Genomic DNA, 17415 nt, shown 5'->3' with positions numbered 1-17415 from the left:
GATTACAGGCATCTGCCACCACGGCCGGCTAATTTTTGTATTTTTAGTAGAGACGGGGTTTCACCATGTTGGCCAGGCTGGTCTCAAACTCCTGACCTCAAGTGATCTGCCCGCCTCGGCCTCCCAAAGTGTGGGATCACAGGCATGAGCCACCGCACCGGCCCAGATACTGGACTATTTTACAAATGAGAAAAGTAGTTGTTGCAGGTAAGACTACTGTTTAATATTGAAATTATCGAACTCTCCTGCAAACGATTCAAACTCCCTTAAGCATTGAGGAAATGAGCTAAAATCCAGATCCCCCTCACCATCTCCCTCACCTTCTTAAGTCTTGTTGGCCGTGTTCATATTCCCAGATTAGTTCCCTATGTATAATCTCTGCTAATATATTCCAACTCCAACATTTTTTGTGGTGCCAATTACCAAGAACTATTTGTAAATTACCCTTCGCACCATTTGAGATAACTTGCAAGTTCCTTAAACACAATTCATGTTGGATCCAGTGTCTGCTTTGCTTCAGGTTATCAGGAAATTCCCTTAAAATTGAAATACTTAACAAGGTGCAGCGGCATGCACCTGTACTCCCCAGCTACTCAGGAGGCTGAGGCGGGAGGATCGCTTTAGCCCAGGAATTCAAGTCTAGCCTGCGCAACAAAGCAAGATGCCCATCTCTTAAAAAAATAACTATAAGTATTTGATTGATTCTGGGAATCCAGTCCATAGTCTTCATTAGAATCTGAATAGCAGCACTTGAGCCACAATATTAGTAAATTCTAAGAGGTAAAGGAATCCATTTGACTTGGGTCAGGGAAGACTGTATTTTATGTGACATATGCAAATCACTTAAGACTCTAGAAAGAGGGCTCACCTTTAATGAAAACAACTATTGGGTAACAAAGGGCCTCTGACATATGATAATGTAGTTCCGCCCAATAGCTCAGGTTTCTTCAACTCAAGGCCCTGGGGTTGTAAATAACCATATCCAGCCAGAACCCATCCAGTGCCGTGCCCATGGAGGTACTGTCACCTTCCTGCTTCTTACAATTGAAAATCAAGATTAGTCTTCATTCAGGGACTCTGGATGCATTTAATATTAGAGTCCTTTCCCTACCTGCCATTTGTTGTCTCATTCTAATTTCCATAAAACAGTGAATACTTTGCTCTTTGGAAGTGATCCCGTTTACACGGAGCACACTAGAACAGCCAAAGCAAATTTACCAGTTAGAAGTATCCAAAAAGATCTTCCAGAAGTTTCAGTGAGAACTGAAGTAAAAATGTAGAAATTATTATAGTAAATATTATTATATTCTTTCATTATATGTAGAGTACATAAGCTGTCAGCAGGTGGGTGTTTAGGTTTAAACACTTTTTACCTCCTTGGTTTGAACTGTTAGCCTAAGCTACCACAATTTTTTGTCCCATCCAATTCAACATATGGAATTTCCTCTATTTTTTGTTTCCAGGAACTAAATATATACCAACCTGGATAAAATGGAGGAAAATAATTCAAGGTCTTATTTGCCAACTCCATTCTTTGTGTGGGTGCAATTAGATATATTTCAGGAGCTGTGGTCTCATGACATTTTCAAATGGTTAAATATGAAAGTAGAGCTGTCGTGAAGCTCACTTTTGCAGATAACTGCTTCTGAGTCTGAAGAAAAGATGTGAATGTTGGCACAAGTGCTCTTTATTCTGCTTTCTAGAAGTTAGTATTTATTTAGTGATAGTGATTTAGATGGAAAATATTTTTTAATTTTGAAATCGGACTATATCATTTAGCTGTGTAAATCCAAGTCACAGAATATATCAGTAAAACTAAGAATTTGCTATGTGTACCTCACAAAGCATGGAAAATAATTACACCATGGTCCATCAATGTTGGTTCAATATATTCATCAATACTGCTATTGAGTTTTAAGGACTGGAAAATAGACAAACTTTACCATTGACAGTCAATCCATGTCAGTCTGAATATCACTGGAAAATAACAAAGGTATGCCAGTTTCCACAGTGTTATGAGGATAGTTTGTTACCCTGGGAAAGTGGAGTCTATACCAGCTTAGATTCAAAGAGGAAAGCAGGTCATAGACGAAAGTATAATTTGAAAAGAAAAAAGAATGGCTTCAGGTCCACTTAACCAAAACACTGAAACTTTAATTGAATGAGAATTACATCTGTCAAAGACCTGGGCAGTACACTCCTCTCTCCTCTCTATAGCACTCATTCCTTCTGAGGTGTCATTTCACCAGCCACCTGAGTAAGTGCTCCAGCTATCCCCAGACCAGCTAGAGACATCCCAAGCATGGTCATGTTAGCATCAATGTCCAGGCATACTCAGGGCTCAGAATCGTGGGTTAGTACCACTTTTCCCACTACCCCCTTATATTCCACAAGGGACTCACAGCCAGCAGGTTAACTCTCCCCTCCCTACCCCCACCAAACCCTGGAAAATCACAGACAGCCTTTTTACAGCTCCTCTTTCTCGGCCCCCTTCTTCTGGAAGGCAGTCAGGATGTTTAAGCTCTTCTGGAGCTCCTCCTTCTTCCCGTCACTCATCTTGTTCTTCTCAATCAGCCTGGCGATCCGTGTCATCTCTGATGCTGGGAAGTCCTCCCCTTGGTCTAAGATCTTCCCCATGATCTTCAGGTATTGCTCGGCCCACTTCTTCTGAGTCTCCTTCACACTTGAGAGGTTATCTTGCCCCTGCTTCAAGAGGGCCTGGCGGGCCTCCACACCAGAGGCCCTGATGAACTCCCCGGCCAGGGCGTCGTATACAGGCAGGCAACCAGGCATACCTAGGTAGACCCCTTGCCCCTTCAGCCAGCGCTGGATGGCTCCAACCTTAACTGCCCCAGTGTATGGGACTGGGTTCTCAAAGTCCCCATCCCGGAAGAGGTAGAAGACTGGGTAGCTCTCTTTGTCCAGCTTGTATTTCTCACTCAGCTCCATGTTCAGCTTGTCACCATAATCTGTGAGCAGAAACCAGACACAAAAAGCAAGACCATAAGGAACTCAGGGCAGAAAATTGCTATGGGACCTAGCTGAACTGAGGGAAAGAAGAATTTTCTTGGCCGTGTAATGGTTCAAAGTGAGGAGCAACCATACAGACCTGTGTTTGAATTCCTCCTCTGCCACTTCCTAGCCATGCAGCACTAGGCAAATCATTTAAACTCTCTGAACTGTTCTTCATCTGAAAAAATGGAGATTCTTCTGAATATTTATTATATGCCCACTATGTGTCAGATGCTGTTCTAGGTGCTGGGGGTCTACTTGTGATTAAGAGTATTAAGCTCGGACGGGTGCGGTGGCTCATGCCTGTAATCCCAGCACTTTGGGAGGCCGAGGCGGACAGATCACGAGGTCAGGAGTTCAAGACCAGCCTGGCCAACATAGTGAAACCGCTGTCTCTGCTAAAAATAACAAAAAAATTAGCAGGGCATGGTGGCGCGTGCCTGTAGTCCCAGCTACTCAAGAGGCTGAGGCAGAAGAATCGCTTGAACCCAGGAGGTGGAGGTTGCAGTGATCCGAGATCCCACCACCGCACTCCAGCTTGGGCAACAGAGTGAGACTTTGTCTCAAAAAAAAAAAAAAAAAAAAAAAAAAGACTATTAAGCTCATATTCTTCTAAGGGAGAGAAGAGACATAACAAACACATAAACACAGGTGATGAATGCCACAGGGAAAACAAAACAGCGCGATGTGACAAAGTGGGTAAGAAAGCCCACTTCAGGTGGTCAAGGCAGGCCTCCCTGTGAAGGTGACATCAGCTAAAGGACCTGAATGTCCTGGAGCAAGCTACGTGAAGATTTGGGAAGAGTGTCTCAGGCAGAAAGGACTGCAAGTGCAAAAGCTCTGAGGCAGGGCTAAGCTCAGGAAATTTCAGGATTACAAAGACCAGTCTGGCTGGAGCTGGGTGAGAAAGGGGAGCATGTGGTAGGGAAGGAACACAGTCCCTGCCACATGGGGGCTGTTGGGAGGACCGGATGAGGGAATATGTGCGTGATACTTGGCAGGGTTATATGCTTAATATGTGGTAGCTGCTGTTAGTATCTGCAACATCCTTCCTAACGAGCAGTAGCAGCCCCAAGGACTGATGCTGTGACAACTGGTTTCTTACACTTTGCCGAGAAACGGCTAAGACCAACTACTAGTAGTGGTAGTACTGGATGCCTAGGGTTCCAAACCTAGTTCTGCCACTTAACAATTCCACAATCTTGAGCAAGTTACTCTAAGCATCCATTTCTTCATTTGAAAAAATGGAGGTAATAGTACCACATGGGACTTCCTTCACAGAGCTCTTGCAAAGATGAAACACATGTAAAACACTCAGCACAGCGGCCTGGCACGCAGTAAACATCTGATAAATGTTAACTATTATTATTATTCTAATAAAAGCACCAAGGGAGTTACCTGAAGTTGAGTCAAATCTGACTGACTGTCCTGGAGAGGTGTGCCAGCTATCTCTACCCAGGACCAGACGCTCTACTAAGTTCCCAGCTTACTACGGAATGGAGGCATCCAAGCTGGGAGGGAAGTGAAATAAGTAAGCCCCTGCCTGGGACTAAACACTTAGGTGGAGCTCTGGATGAGCCACTCTATCACCCACAGTCCTTTAATCTTTGAGCTTCAGTTTTTTTTTTCCTGAAGTATAACATGGAGATAATACATCTTGCTTCTCAGGCAGAGTTCAAGTGAAGATTTAAAATGCAATGGGGGTGCAGATCTTTACCCTGTCAGCCACTAAATGCTGGTGACTATTAAAGCTGTCGCTGTGGTTGGGAGGTGCCCTTGGATTAGTGGTGGCATCAGTGCATTTGAGCTAACACCAAAACCTAACAGTTTTGGTACATAAACTGAAATGAAGACAGAAGAACTGACTATGCTGTCCCCTAGGGGACATAGCACCCCCTCTGCCCAGTGTTCCCTGCAAGGAGAGCTCAAAGTTCTCACAGTTTAATGTCAGAGAGGGGTGGAATGTGAAGGAAGAGGGGTTCCCTTCCCTTCAGGCACCTGTACAGCTGAGCTTAGATTCCATGGTCCCAAAATCTGCTCAGGTTAAGCCTACTGTGGGCAGCAGATTCCTTTAGAGACCATGAACCTGTTTACTTACACTCCTTGAGAGTGGCTCAGAAGGAAAGATGCTGGGTATTCCTGTTCCAAGTAGGGAAACGATTTCTAGCTTCCTCCCTCTCTGCCCCCCCAGCCGTCCTGGACTTGTCCATACCTGAGATCCCCACCTCTGCCACCAAGAGATCATCGCTGGAAGCCGAGTTTTCAGCAAGACGCTTGAACTCATCCTGCTTCTCACCGTAGGGGTACTGGGTGTCGAACTTCACCAAGACGAACTTGCTTTTGGGAATGACCTGAGGGCGTATAGAGCTGAGCAAGTGGGTGTTCCAGGGACTTTTGGGGCTAATTCCCCTTCCCAAGGGGCCCCTGTTTAAGAAATAGAGTGGAAACAAGCCCACAAGGGAGGCAAGCTCTCACAAACTAATATTTATTCATTCACCCACTGACTCATTTAACAATTTAGTGAGTGCCAGCAACATGCAGGGCACCCCATTAGTACCTGTTCACACTAATCAAAGATATACACAACCCTGTCCAGAATAAACAAGGCTGCAGACATACTAAGGCCTTCTCCTTCAGGGTTCCTTTCAGTTAGGTGAAGGAGACCCTCTGCATACTACATCAGCCCCTGTCATGCTCATCATCCCAGGAGGCCTTTCGCAGTAAACCCTGAACAAGAAATCTGACAAAAATAAACAAACCTACCTACAAAGGAGTTGGCATCATGGAGGACGCTTTGGCTAGATAGGCCAGAGTTTGAACCCAGCAATTTCAGGGCAGATAAGCTAGTGAGAGGCCAGGCTTGGGACAATGTCTTCTCCCTAGACTACACTTCCCTCTGGCTAGATCTCTGGGTTTTAAACTGTCAGGGCCAAGACTTTTAATTGCAGTAAAATTCACATAATATTTGCCATTGTAACCATTTAAAAGTGTACATTCTGCATGATTCAGTGCATTAAGAATGTGCAACCATAGAGGTTACTATCTAGTGCCAGAACATTTTCATCATCCCAAAAGGAAACCCTATACTCATTACGCAGTCACTCCCCAGTCTTCCTCCTCCCAGCCCCAGCAACCACTCATCTATTTTCTGTCTCTATAGATTTGTCTATTCTGATGGAAATGTACAATATGTGCCCTTTTGTGTCTGGCTTTTTTCACTTAGCATGTTTTCAAGGTTTGTCCATGTTGTACCATGTATTGGCACACTGTTACTTTTTATGGCCAAATAAATATTACACTGTACGATAGACCACATTTTTGTTTATTCACTCATCAGCTGAATGTTTGGGTTGTTTCCACCTTTTGGCTACTGTCAATAGTGCTGCTATGAACATTCACATAACACATTTTGTTTGAACACCTGTATTCCACTCTTTTGGGTATATATACAAGTGGAACTGTGGTGGTCATATGCTAAGTCTACATTTAACTTACTGAAGAAGCCAAGGACTTCTTTTGATGGTTTCTCCCAATGCACAAGTTTTATCTAACAAGCCACCTTAGGGTAACACTGCCTTCCTCACTTCCATCAACTTTTTGTTTTCCTAATCCAAGTGATCCCTATCAAGTTTTTTCATCACAGGCAATCACTGTAAATAATCATGTCAAGGCTGAGCATGGTGGCTCACACCTGTAATCTCAACACTTTGCGGGGCTGAAGTGGGAGGATCACGTGAGGCTAGAAGTTCAAGACCAGCCTGGGCAACATAGCTGGCTTAAAAAAAAAAAATTAGCCAGTCATGGTGGCACACACCTGTATTCCCAGCTAAACTACTCAGGAGGCTGAGGTGGAAAATCACTTGTGCCTAGGAGTTAGAGGTTATAGTGAGCTATGATTGCACCACTGCAATCCAACCTGTGTAACAGAGTGAGACCCCATCTCTCTCTCTCTCTCTAAAAAGAAAAAAAAAATTATGTCAAGCTGACATAATTCTGGCTGAAGGCAAAGATACAATGTTCTGGACTGGGCACAGTGGTTCATGCCTGTAATCCCAGCACTCTGGGAGGCTGAGATGGGTGGATCACCTGAGGTCAGGAGTTGAAGACCAGCCTGGCCAACGTGGTGAAACCCTATCTCTACTAAAAATACAAAAATTAGCTGGGCGTTGTGGTGGGCGCCTGTAATCCCATCTACTCGGGAGGCTGAGGCAGGAGAATTGCTTGAACCTGGGAGGCGGAGGTTGCGGTGAGCCGAGATCGCGCCACTGCACTCCAGCCTGGGCGAAAAGAATGAAACTCCACCTCAAAAAAAAAAAAAAAAAAGAAAAAAAAAGATACAATGTTCTTGTTAGTCTTTGTCCTTTACAGTGTACTGATGTCCTCTTGGTTTTTAAAAATATTTAACACTGTTTAGGGACACAAAGGAGGGAGGAGAAGACACCAGAACAAGTCATCTTTAAATGCCAAAAAGCCTGAGCTCTGGGGGCCTAAAAGCAGGAAAGACTTAAAATACAAATAAGATCACATCCCTCTGGCCCAACTGGCCTTATTTCACTTCAGCACATGAAACTTATTCCCACTCAAGAGCTTTTTCATTTGCTCTCTGCTGGCTGGAATGTCCTTTCCCCAGTTCTTTTCATGGTTATCTCTTTATCGTTCAAGGCTCAGTTCAAATGTCCCCTGCTACTGGGGACTCCTCCAATCAGACCATCTAATATGGCTTCATTTTCATCATACCCTGCTATCATTACCCTGCTGTATTTTCTTCAGTGCATTACTCACTCTCTGAAATCCTTATTTGCTTGTTTTCCATCCTTTCCACTAGAATACATTTATGAGAATAAGGACCTTGTCTGACCTGTTTTCTGCTGTATCCCTAGTGCTCAACAGTGCCTGGAATGTGGCAGATGTTCTGAAAATATCTGATGAATGAACAATACTCTGACAGGCTTTGTAGCAGATGCTACATGTTGGGGAAGGGGAGAATGTTTAAAAAGCAAAACACGGGATACCTACTTTCAAGGGCCTGCACTTGTATTATGGAATAATATTAATAATTATACAGTGGTCTAACATTAAAATAGAATTCAGAGATCTCCACCTTCTACTTTCACCATTCTTAGTTTCAAGGGTAAGGCAGAATGGTTTTGAATGGCAAACATTTGCATAAAGAATTTTCTCTTGTTATCTTAGTCTGTTATTTTTTATTTTTTTTTTGAGGCAGGGTCTCGCTCTGTTGCCCGGGCTGGAGTGCAGTGGTGCCATCTCAGCTCTCTGCAGCTCCGCCTCCCGTGTTCACGCCATTCTCCTGCCTCAGCCTCCCAAGTAGCTGGGACTACAGGTGCCCGCCACCACGTCCGGCTAATTTTTTTGTATTTTTAGTAGAGACAGGGTTTCACCGTGTTAGCCAGGATGACCTCGATCTCCTGAACTTGTGATCCACCTGCCTCGGCCTCCCGAAGTGGTCTGTTATCTCTTAATGATAGCTTTAGAAGTCTATTTTCCTCATCTACTTCCTACCAGCCCTTGGTGTCCAATGGGCTAGTGGGAATCAGCTCTACCATTACCTATAATCAGGCAACTCACTTCTTTAAAGTATAGATAAGTTCATTATTCATTCATTCGTTCATTGAGTAAAAAGTTACTAAAGGCCTGCCAGGCACCATACTAAGTGAACACAGCAGGGAACAAAATGGCATCTCTTAGCTCATGAAACTAACATTCTAGTGATGGTGAAGGGAAAGAAACAACAACAAAAAAGATACTGGAAATCACTGAAAGGCAAAGCATGGAACAAGGCTGCCAGACAGAACACTAGTACATTTCCTTTTGGTTCAGTCGTGATGGAAGAGAAGATTTGAAAAGAGACTGGAGAAAACGTTTGTTCATTCACGCAACAAAATAGTTATTGTGCACCTTCTATGAGACAGGTAATCTGTTATGCAGCGCAGACGATCAGGAACAAAATAGACAAGGAGCTTCTTCATGAGCACATAATATTCCAGTGAGAGAGAAAGATGGCAAAATAGATTTTTAAAAAATCAGTGATGAGTGCTGTATGGAGAAATAAAACAGATTAATGTGACTGGCACTTTAGACTGGGGGGAAGATAAATCAAGGAAGAACTCTAAGGAGGAAACACTTAACCTAAGCCCGAATGATGAGAAGTAACTAACTAGCCTTTCAAAGTTTGGGCAGAGAATATTCCAGTCACAAGGAACAACTAGTGCAACATATCCTAAGGCAGTAAAGAGCAAGGAATATTCAAAAGACAGTAGGAGAATGGTTGGGAGATGAGAGGGAAGCCAGGAGTCAGGTCATATAGAACTTAGGCTACTGTGTGGAGACTCAAGAGTGGAAGCAGGGAGACCAGAGAAGAGGCTATTGTAATGTTGACCTAGACTAGGGTGGTAATAGTAGAAAACACTGTTAGCTTTATGGCGCAAAGTTTCCCTTTGGGTCACACTTGTTCTGTGATATTATCTGATTCCCATGGAGCAGGGTGGGGTAGGGGTGTCATTTTGCCAGTAAAGGCCCCCAAAGCATAGGGTGCTGTAGGGTGTGTCTGAGCATGCCTGACAACCAATCAGCCACACCTACACCATTTTTTTTTTTTTTGAGACAGAGTTTTGCTCTTGTTGCCCAGGCTGGAGTGTCATGGCATGATGACGGCTTACTGCAACCTCCACCTCCCAGGTTCAAGCAATTCTCCTGCCTCAGCCTCCCGAGTAGCTGGGATTACAGGCACCCGCCACCACGCCCAGCTAATTTTTGTATTTTTAGTAGAGACAGGGTTTCACCATGTTGGCCAGGCTGGTCTCCAACTCCTGACCTCAGGTGATCTACCTGCCTCAGCCTCCCAAAGTGCCGGGATTACAAGCATGAGCCACCGCACCCAGCCCACACTTTTTTTTTTTTTTTTGAGACGGAGTATTTGCTCTGTCGCCCAGGCTGGAGTGCAGTGGCGTGATCTTGGCTCACCGCAACCTCCGCCTCCTGGGTTCAAGCAATTCTCCTGTCTAAGCCTCCCGAGGAGCTGGGACTACAGGTGTCCACCACCACGCCCAGCTAATTTTTGTATTTTTAGTAGGGACGGGGTTTCACCTTGTTGGTCAGGCTGGTCTCAAACTCCTGACCTCAGGTGATCTACCCGCCTCAGCCTCCCAAAGTGCTGGGATTACAGGCGTGAGCCACTAAGCCCGGCCTACACTTTTAAATTCTTGAAACTTTGCCTTGAATGAGCTGCAAGTGCCAAATCCACGACAGGGAACGCTTGAAAATAGGAGACTTCAACCACTGGAGACAACTACTTCTTGGTTTCACTTCCCCACAATGAGTACAAAACCTGAAAATGAAATGACTGGCTCTCTCGCAACACTAAGCTTGCCCATCTCCTAGAGGAAGTTAAAAGCTGCTCGTGGGTGAAGACAGGTGCAAGAGGAGGGGACTGGGACTGCGGTGTTGCATTCAGCCACCATTTCCAACCGTCCATTTACTCAGGCCAGGATCCCTAATTCTGCAAAAATGGAAGGGGGGAAAGGCGGAGGTAGTGGCAAATTCTTCCATGCCTTGACCCAATTTTACTGATTTTGTTGCCAACCCCAAGATGTTTCCTACAACAGCTATCCCCAACCTTTTTGGCACCAAGAACTGGTTTCATGGAAGACAACTTTTCCACGGGGTTGGGTGGTTTCGACATGAACCTGTTTCGCCTCAGATCATCAGGCATTAGATTCTGATAAGAAGCACACAACCTGGATCCCTCACATGCGTAGTTCACAATAAAGGTCGTGCTCCTATGAGAATGTAATGCCGCAGCTGATGTAACAGGAGGCGGAGCTCAGGCTGTAGTGCTAGCTCGCCTGCCGCTCACCTCCTGCTGTGCGGCCCGGTTTCTAACAGGCCACCGACGGGCCTGGTGGTTGGGGACCCCTGCTTTACAGGGTGGCTGAACTGAAGCTTATTCTTCACGCTTGCACTATTCAAGATGTATGATATCTGATCATTGTTTGCACACTGCAAAGCAGGCTGCAATCCAACCCTGGGAAGAGGGGCGCGGACACGCAGGCTAACGCGCCTGCATTTCCCCCCGCCAACCCCTCCCAGCTTCCACAGCCGGGAGCCCGGTGGCGTCGACCTCGCACCGCCCTCCGGTTCTCCCACTTGGGACTCGAGGGTTGGATCTCGCCAGGCACCGCCCTCTCCCCACAGGTGAAGGGAAGGGGCACCCAGTTCCCTCGGCTGCATCTTTGCAAGGGTGGATGCAAGTATAAATGCTGCAAAAGCAAGGGTGCGCCGGGGCCCTGAAGCGTGCATGCCCGGTGGTCATAACATTCTCCGCTCAGAGTCCACTAGGCCTGTAGGACGCCGGGAAGCTCTGGGACCGTTGCTACAGACCACCTCCCGTCAGCTCCCGGAATCCAGCGTCTCCCCACGGGCGCGCGCTCTTCCGGGCGCCCCGGCGGCACCTGCGCGCGACGTCCCCCGCCCCGGTTACCTTGTAGAAAGTGACCGTATCCAGGGGAAGGGCGCCCTTGGTGTGCAGGCCGCTGCCGCCATGCGGAGCGGAGAGGAGCAGGAAGCCCAGGAGAAGGGGAAGCAGCGGGGAGAGAAATGCGGCGCGGGGCACAGCGGCAGCCATATCGCCGGGTTCCTGCAGAGGGAGGTAGGTAAGCGATAGTGGAGAACGCCCCGAGTCAGCGGTCACGTGACTGGGGGGGCGGACTCACGCGCGCTCACGTGGACACCCCAGGAGGCTCCCATCTGTCTAGGGTGAGAGGGTGGGGCCACGTGAGGGGCGGGGCGAGGGAGGGGAAGCTGCTGCGCACGCGTACTCGGCGAAGCTCGCGTAGGGCCTGGGTAAAAGGGCGGGGCCACGTTGCGGGCGGGAAAATGGGCTCCTGCGCGCGCGCACTCGCCGAGTCTTCCGGCGGGTCCGCCCAGTTCCGTTCCTGCTCCGCTTGAGGAGAAGCGCCAAGTGCGCATGGGGACGCTATAGCAATTCGTTTGCTGTCCTTCCTCTCCTTCGAAGATGACAAGGCCTACCATCGTTTCTTCCTGCCTTTGGGCCGTCAGGCAGTTGGTTGGGACCCGCTCCAACCCTCGGTCAGTCTATTAGTCAAGTTCAGCCGTTATTCTCAGTCAGGCTCCGTCACCACCCTGACCCAGGCGGGCAGTGGCTCCGCGGCTTCCCTGAGCTTTTTGGCCAGGCTTGGCGGTCAGTGTGGCAAGCAGGGCCCTCTTAGGCCCGATCTGAGGTGAGCGCCTCCCCTGGGAGACGCCAGGCTCCTGGGATCCGCCCAGCCAAGGCCCACCCTCCAGGAACCCCAGACGCAATTCTAATCATTCTGTTCCGCAGGTAGTCACTCGGTCCCTGGCTTGTGCCAGACTCTGGCTTTGCCTGCGGGGCTACGGAATAAGCAGAAACAAGACCGTTGTGTGCTGAAGGCACGCACTTTGTTGGGGGAGGAGGCGGCATAGGAATAATGATCTAAACAGTGCAGTGTAATTGCTGTAAAATATTATTCCGGCTGGGCGCGTTGACTCACGTCTGTAATCCCAGCACTTTGGGAGGCCGAGGCAGGTGGATTACCTGAGGTCAGGAGTTCGAGACCAGCCTGGCCAACATGGTGAAACCCCGTTTCTACTAAAAATCAGGCGAGTGTGGTGGTGCGTGCCTGTAATCCCAGCTACTCAAGAGGCTGAGGCAGGAGAATTGCATGAACCCAGGAGGCGGAAGTTGGGGTGAGCCGAGATTTCGCCATTGCACTTCAGCCTAGGTGACAGAGCGAGACTCAGTCTCAAAAAGAAAAAAAAAGACCGTATTTTCTTATTGTAAAGAGACAGAGATTCAGCCATCCCTGCTCAGGAGCATCAGAGGAAGTTGTAGACAGGAGGTGACTTTTGAGCTGGACCTTGAAATAAGAGGGGGCGTGCATGAGGCAAAGAGAAACAGGGCATTTCTAACAATGGGAAAATTATGCACAGGCATGTTGGGGAACTGGTTGAGATGAATCTATGTAAAGGCGAACTGGCGCAACAGCTGCTGCCGCTCTTTTTTATTTTGATTGATTATTACTGAGCTTCCATGGGGCGGATTCGAAAGGGTCTCACCAAGCTAAAGGGTTTGGAGTCACCAGAAGTTTTAACTAGGAGAGTGAGGTTAGATTTGTGTGTAGAAACAGCACCCAGGTCAGCCTGGGCAACGTAATGAAACCTCGTCTCTACAATAAGTAGAAAAATTAGCCATGTGTGGTAGTGCATGCCTGTGGTCCCAGGTACTTGGGAGGCTGAGGCAGCAGGATCACTTGGACCTGAGGGGTCGAGGCTGCAGTCAGCCCTGATTGCTGCCACTGCACTCCAGTCTGGGCAACAGAGAAGACTGTCTCAAAACAAAAACAACATTACTCAGGAATGAAGGAAATGGATTGGAATTGAGAAGACGGGACTAAAGCCAATTAATGGGGTATGGCAATAGTCTAGTTGGAAGAGGTTAAGGTCATGCAGTAGGACATAATAGGGCTGAAGAAGTATGGATGGAATTGACAAACTTTTAAAGGGTAGAATTCACAAGATTTGATGAACAAATGCATGTAAGAGAACATATACAATGCATTGTAAGGGACTTACTGCTATAATTAACCATTGTATGTTTCCAAAATGTATGTGTATAAATAGTCAACAGTGATAACAGGATCCAATCATGGACAACCAGTTTGATTGGATATAAATTTTGAAAGAAAGTGTGTGTGTGTTTGTGTGTGTGTATGTGTGAATGTGTCTGGGGAAGTTAAGAAAAATTTTGAGTTTGCCCTATTGATGGCAGCCAGCTGCAGCAGGGAGGTGTGACTGGGGCTGCACACTCCATGGAGCCTGTGGGAGCCCCGCCCCTTCTGAGTTGAGGCAGGAGCCCCTGGTGCCATTGTGGCTGCCCTCCCAGGTGCAGGACCTGGGCATCTCTGCAGCCTGCACCCTTGGGGGACCAGCAAGACACCCTACTGCAATCCCTGCAGGCTCAGGAGTGTCTGTTCCCACCGCCTGGACTCTCTCTACTCCCGGGGCCTGCTCCAATCTCAGAGCGGGCTTGGGGCCAAGAATGGCAATGGGAGGCAGATTGATTCCAGGGTAGAAGTGGGTGAGTCCCCAGTAAGACCCCACCTTCAGGTCAGGGAGGGCCTGAAGACAGGGGTCCAGGCTGCCAGTCCTGCAGACTGGAGTAGGGACTCGTGGTGCATCTTCTGGCCTGCCCATGGACCAATCGGCATGTACTTCCTCCCCTCGGAGGTCCATAAAAACCCTGGGTTCAGCCAGAGTAGGGCAGAGGACTGCCAGAGGACCAAGAGGGCAGAGACCTATGGGTCAACAAGCCTAAGAGAGGAGCTACCCTCTCTGCTGATAGTTGGAGATGATGGAACAGCCAGTTGCAAAAAGGACCTACCCTCCCTGCTGACAGCTGCAGAGACAACCTGTGGGCAGAGAAGAGCCACCCTCTCCAGGGCCTCCTCTCTTCTGAGAGCTGCAGACATTAGGACGATCAGTTGCAGAGAGGAGCCATCCTCTCCAGGGCCTCCTCTCTACTGAGAACTGAATACCTGATGGACAACCTGCCTACAGAGAGGAAATACCCACTGGAGGTCTCTGAGCTGTTGTAACACTCAATAAAGTTCATCTTTGTCTTGTTCACCCTTCATTGTCCACGTACCTCATTCTTTTCCTGGATGCAGGACAAGAACTCGGGTAAAGGCACTGTGGCCACAGAGGTTTCTGGCCAGAAAATGGACACCCCAAAGACCCCGTAACACTATGAGCTACAAGACAAGTGATAGAAATTAGAAGAAGGGAAAACTATGAACTGAGGTGGTGAAACAAGGCTTTATGTAACTGGTGGAAATAGAGTTAAGCCTTGGAAGGAGGAACATTTTAGATAGAGAACAAGTGGAAAAGGAGCAGATACGGGAATGAACATGATGCTTTGGGAGAATGACTGGCTTGGTTGAAGGGAGTTCTCCAAACAGGAGATAGTAAAACAGTTTTAAGCTCAGATAGGAGGGAGTCTTGAAGTCAAACTAAGAATTTTCTGTTCTGTAGTCTATATGGAGCTATTAAGAGTTTTAAAATTTCTTTATAAAACATTTAAACTTCTAAAATTATTCACTTCTCAGTATAAATAACTTCGGTTATACCTAGTTAGTAGAATTGATCAGCAGTGACTTTCTAGTCATGGTTAGTTTAGAAGTAGGTTTTGTTTTGTTTTTTTTTTTTTTGAGACAGAGTCACTTGGTCACTCAGGCTGGAGTTCAGAGGCCTGATCTCAGCTCACTGCAACCTCCACCTCCTGCGTTCAAGTGATTTTCCTACCTCAGCCTCCTGAGTAGCTGGGATTACAGACGTCTGCCACCACACCTGGCTAATTTTTTTTTTTTTGTATTTTTAGTAGAGATGGGGTTTCACCATGTTGGCCAGGCTCATCTTGAACTCCTGACCTCAAATGATCCACCTGCCTTGGCCTCCCAAAGTGCTGGGATTACAGGCGTGACCCACTGCACCCAGCATTTTTTTTTTTTTTTTTTTTAAGTAAACCCATGCTGATTTAGCAGTTACTTTTTTTCTAATTGTTTGCAAACACATCTTTTGGACAATTCATTCTAGAATCTTATTTGGGATCAATACTAAGATCCTTGACATATGGTTTGGTTTGCAGATTTCACATCTTTTTGCCTTTAATTTAGTTATTACCAGGTTTCTAGCAAGTTTCCCATTTTTACATGAACTCTCAAATTTTTCTCAAATGGTTTATTGGGTTAACTGGCAAGTTTTATCAAAATTCTGGAGGGTAATTTGTTCAGGCCAGGAGTGGTGGATTTATTTAGAGTAGTCAGGTGCTCTCTTACAATCTTTATCTTCAGTTCCTTCTTACAATGTTTGTTTTATACTTTATATTGTGAGTATTATCCTTTTTAGTCAGACAGAAACATCCATTAATCATTACACCGTGAATTCTAGCACTGGGCATTTCCTTCCTTGCTTTTGTTCCAAACTTCATTTTATTGGCAGTAATTTTACTAAGATACAATTCAAAAGCACTTCATAATTGGTAACTGTTATTACTAGAAATCTTTTTTTTTTTTTTTTGAAATGGAGTTTCGCTCTTGTTGCCCAGGCTGGAGTGCAATGGTGCGATCTTGGCTCACTGCAACCTCCACCTCCTGGGTTCAAGCAATTCTCCTGCCTCAGCCTCCTGAATAGCTGGCATTACAGGCACCCACCACCATGCCTGGCTATGTATTTATTTGTATTTAGTAGAGAGAGGATTTCACCATGTTGGTCAGGCTAGTCTCAAGTTCCTGACCTCAGGTGATCCACCCACCTTGGCCTCCCAAAGTGCTGGGATTACAGGCGTACTCCACCGTGCCTGGCCTTAGAAATCTTTAAATGTTATTTTTAGAAAACTTTTTGGTTAAATAAAAATATTTTACAAAGGCAAGTGTCTTTCCTGACTTTGAGTAACTTGCTCATGATAGCAATTTTATGAATATGTGTTAACTTGAATTGATATATAATATACAGTAGCCCAATAAGTTAAGAACTGGGATAGGTTTGAACTTGCTAAGGAGGTTTTTTTTTTTTTGAGGTGGAGTCTTGCTCTGTCATCCAGGCTGGAGTGCAGTGGCATGATCTTGGCTCACTACAACTTCCGCCTCCCGGGTTCAAGCAATTCTCTGTCTCAGCCTCCCGAGTAGCTGGGATTACAGGCGCCCGCCACCATACCCAGCTAATTTTTGTATTTTTAGTAGAGGCGGGGTTTCACCATCTTGGCCAGGCTGGTCTCCAACTCCTGACCTTGTGATCCACACGCCTCGGCCTCCGAAAGTGTTGGGATTACAGGTGTGAGCCACCGCGCCCAGCCTTTTTTTTCTTTTTAACACAGGGTTTCACTCTGTCGCTCAGGCTGGAGCGTGAGTGCAGTGATGCAAACACAGCTCACTGCAGCCTGGACCTCAGCCTCAAGAGATCCTCCTGCCGCAGCCTGCTGAGTAGCTGGGACCACAGGCATGCAAGGAGCTTTTTGCTAAAAAGAGATAAAGGAAAACTGAAAATAAATATCACCTACTTCATCATTTGAGCTTGGACTAGCCCTTTTAGAAAAGGAAGATGGCAAGATTATGTTTCCAAAGATACTTCAAAGGGACAAAGTGCTGAATATACAGCAAGCAGGGGATTAATTTTGATAGAAAAACTGAAAAGTAAATTCCCAAATGTTGGTAGATGGTATAGATGTTTTAGAAGAGAACACCAAAGAGAAAAGTTATTCATCATTGATTATCCTAGCAAGAGCAGCAGACTAATTTGGCATGGCTGTTCTCTGAGCAACATGAGATTTGTTCTTGACTGAAACAACAGTCC

At 46.5% G+C, this 17415-nt stretch overlaps 2 protein-coding genes and 1 long non-coding RNA gene across 8 annotated transcripts in view, besides 7 other annotated features; 2 read left to right on the top strand and 1 right to left on the bottom strand.

Moving 5' to 3' along the window:
- ERP29 (endoplasmic reticulum protein 29) lies at nucleotides 1670-11693 on the bottom strand. 2 transcript variants are annotated; one of them, NM_006817.4, is made up of 3 exons: nucleotides 11510-11693; nucleotides 5225-5363; nucleotides 1670-2969 (listed from the first exon to the last, which is right to left on the bottom strand). In NM_006817.4, exons 1-3 carry the CDS (start codon nucleotides 11651-11653, stop codon nucleotides 2467-2469), a joined length of 786 nt encoding a protein of 261 aa, NP_006808.1. In that variant the 5' UTR covers nucleotides 11654-11693; the 3' UTR covers nucleotides 1670-2466. The 2 variants fall into 2 exon arrangements, with proteins under 2 accessions (NP_006808.1, NP_001029197.1); NM_001034025.2 differs by lacking the exon at nucleotides 5225-5363.
- LOC124903021 (uncharacterized) lies at nucleotides 2969-6320 on the top strand. The gene is made up of 2 exons (XR_007063464.1): nucleotides 2969-4543; nucleotides 5204-6320. It is a non-coding gene; the product is annotated as an uncharacterized LOC124903021 (long non-coding RNA).
- Nucleotides 10220-10359: an enhancer, noted in NCBI's record as "active region_7043". NCBI's record gives its function as "activates an Ori minimal core promoter by ATAC-STARR-seq in GM12878 lymphoblastoid cells {active_cell/tissue: GM12878}" and the evidence as "EXISTENCE:reporter gene assay evidence [ECO:0000049][PMID:35858748]".
- Nucleotides 11360-11449: a silencer, noted in NCBI's record as "silent region_4879". NCBI's record gives its function as "represses an Ori minimal core promoter by ATAC-STARR-seq in GM12878 lymphoblastoid cells {active_cell/tissue: GM12878}" and the evidence as "EXISTENCE:reporter gene assay evidence [ECO:0000049][PMID:35858748]".
- Nucleotides 11790-11869: a silencer, noted in NCBI's record as "silent region_4878". NCBI's record gives its function as "represses an Ori minimal core promoter by ATAC-STARR-seq in GM12878 lymphoblastoid cells {active_cell/tissue: GM12878}" and the evidence as "EXISTENCE:reporter gene assay evidence [ECO:0000049][PMID:35858748]".
- The window catches only part of TMEM116 (transmembrane protein 116), an 81938-nt gene continuing 76422 nt past the window's right edge, over nucleotides 11900-17415 (top strand). For 4 of the 5 annotated variants that reach the window (NM_138341.3, NM_001193453.2, NM_001193531.2 and 1 more), the window contains exon 1: nucleotides 11954-12117. The gene's annotated coding sequence lies outside the window, so the exon portion shown is untranslated. Of the gene's footprint in view, nucleotides 12118-17415 lie in introns of all 5 variants that reach the window. The other variant, NR_122119.1, reaches the window with a different exon arrangement.
- Nucleotides 12030-12219: an enhancer, noted in NCBI's record as "active region_7042". NCBI's record gives its function as "activates an Ori minimal core promoter by ATAC-STARR-seq in GM12878 lymphoblastoid cells {active_cell/tissue: GM12878}" and the evidence as "EXISTENCE:reporter gene assay evidence [ECO:0000049][PMID:35858748]".
- Nucleotides 12030-12978: a biological region, named in NCBI's record as "H3K27ac hESC enhancer GRCh37_chr12:112449945-112450833".
- Nucleotides 12090-12978: an enhancer, noted in NCBI's record as "H3K27ac hESC enhancer chr12:112449945-112450833 (GRCh37/hg19 assembly coordinates)". NCBI's record gives its function as "activates a minimal SCP1, AML or CMV promoter by ChIP-STARR-seq in primed H9 embryonic stem cells {active_cell/tissue: H9 hESC(primed)}" and the evidence as "EXISTENCE:reporter gene assay evidence [ECO:0000049][PMID:30033119]".
- Nucleotides 13483-13996: an enhancer, noted in NCBI's record as "H3K4me1 hESC enhancer chr12:112448927-112449440 (GRCh37/hg19 assembly coordinates)". NCBI's record gives its function as "activates a minimal SCP1, AML or CMV promoter by ChIP-STARR-seq in primed H9 embryonic stem cells {active_cell/tissue: H9 hESC(primed)}" and the evidence as "EXISTENCE:reporter gene assay evidence [ECO:0000049][PMID:30033119]".

The sequence above is a fragment of the Homo sapiens genome, chromosome 12 (genome assembly GCF_000001405.40).
Source record: "Homo sapiens chromosome 12, GRCh38.p14 Primary Assembly".
In the NCBI taxonomy this organism is placed as follows: domain Eukaryota; kingdom Metazoa; phylum Chordata; class Mammalia; order Primates; family Hominidae; genus Homo; species Homo sapiens.
Note: the sequence above shows the minus strand (reverse complement) of the source record. Positions and strands in the feature narration are given on the sequence as shown.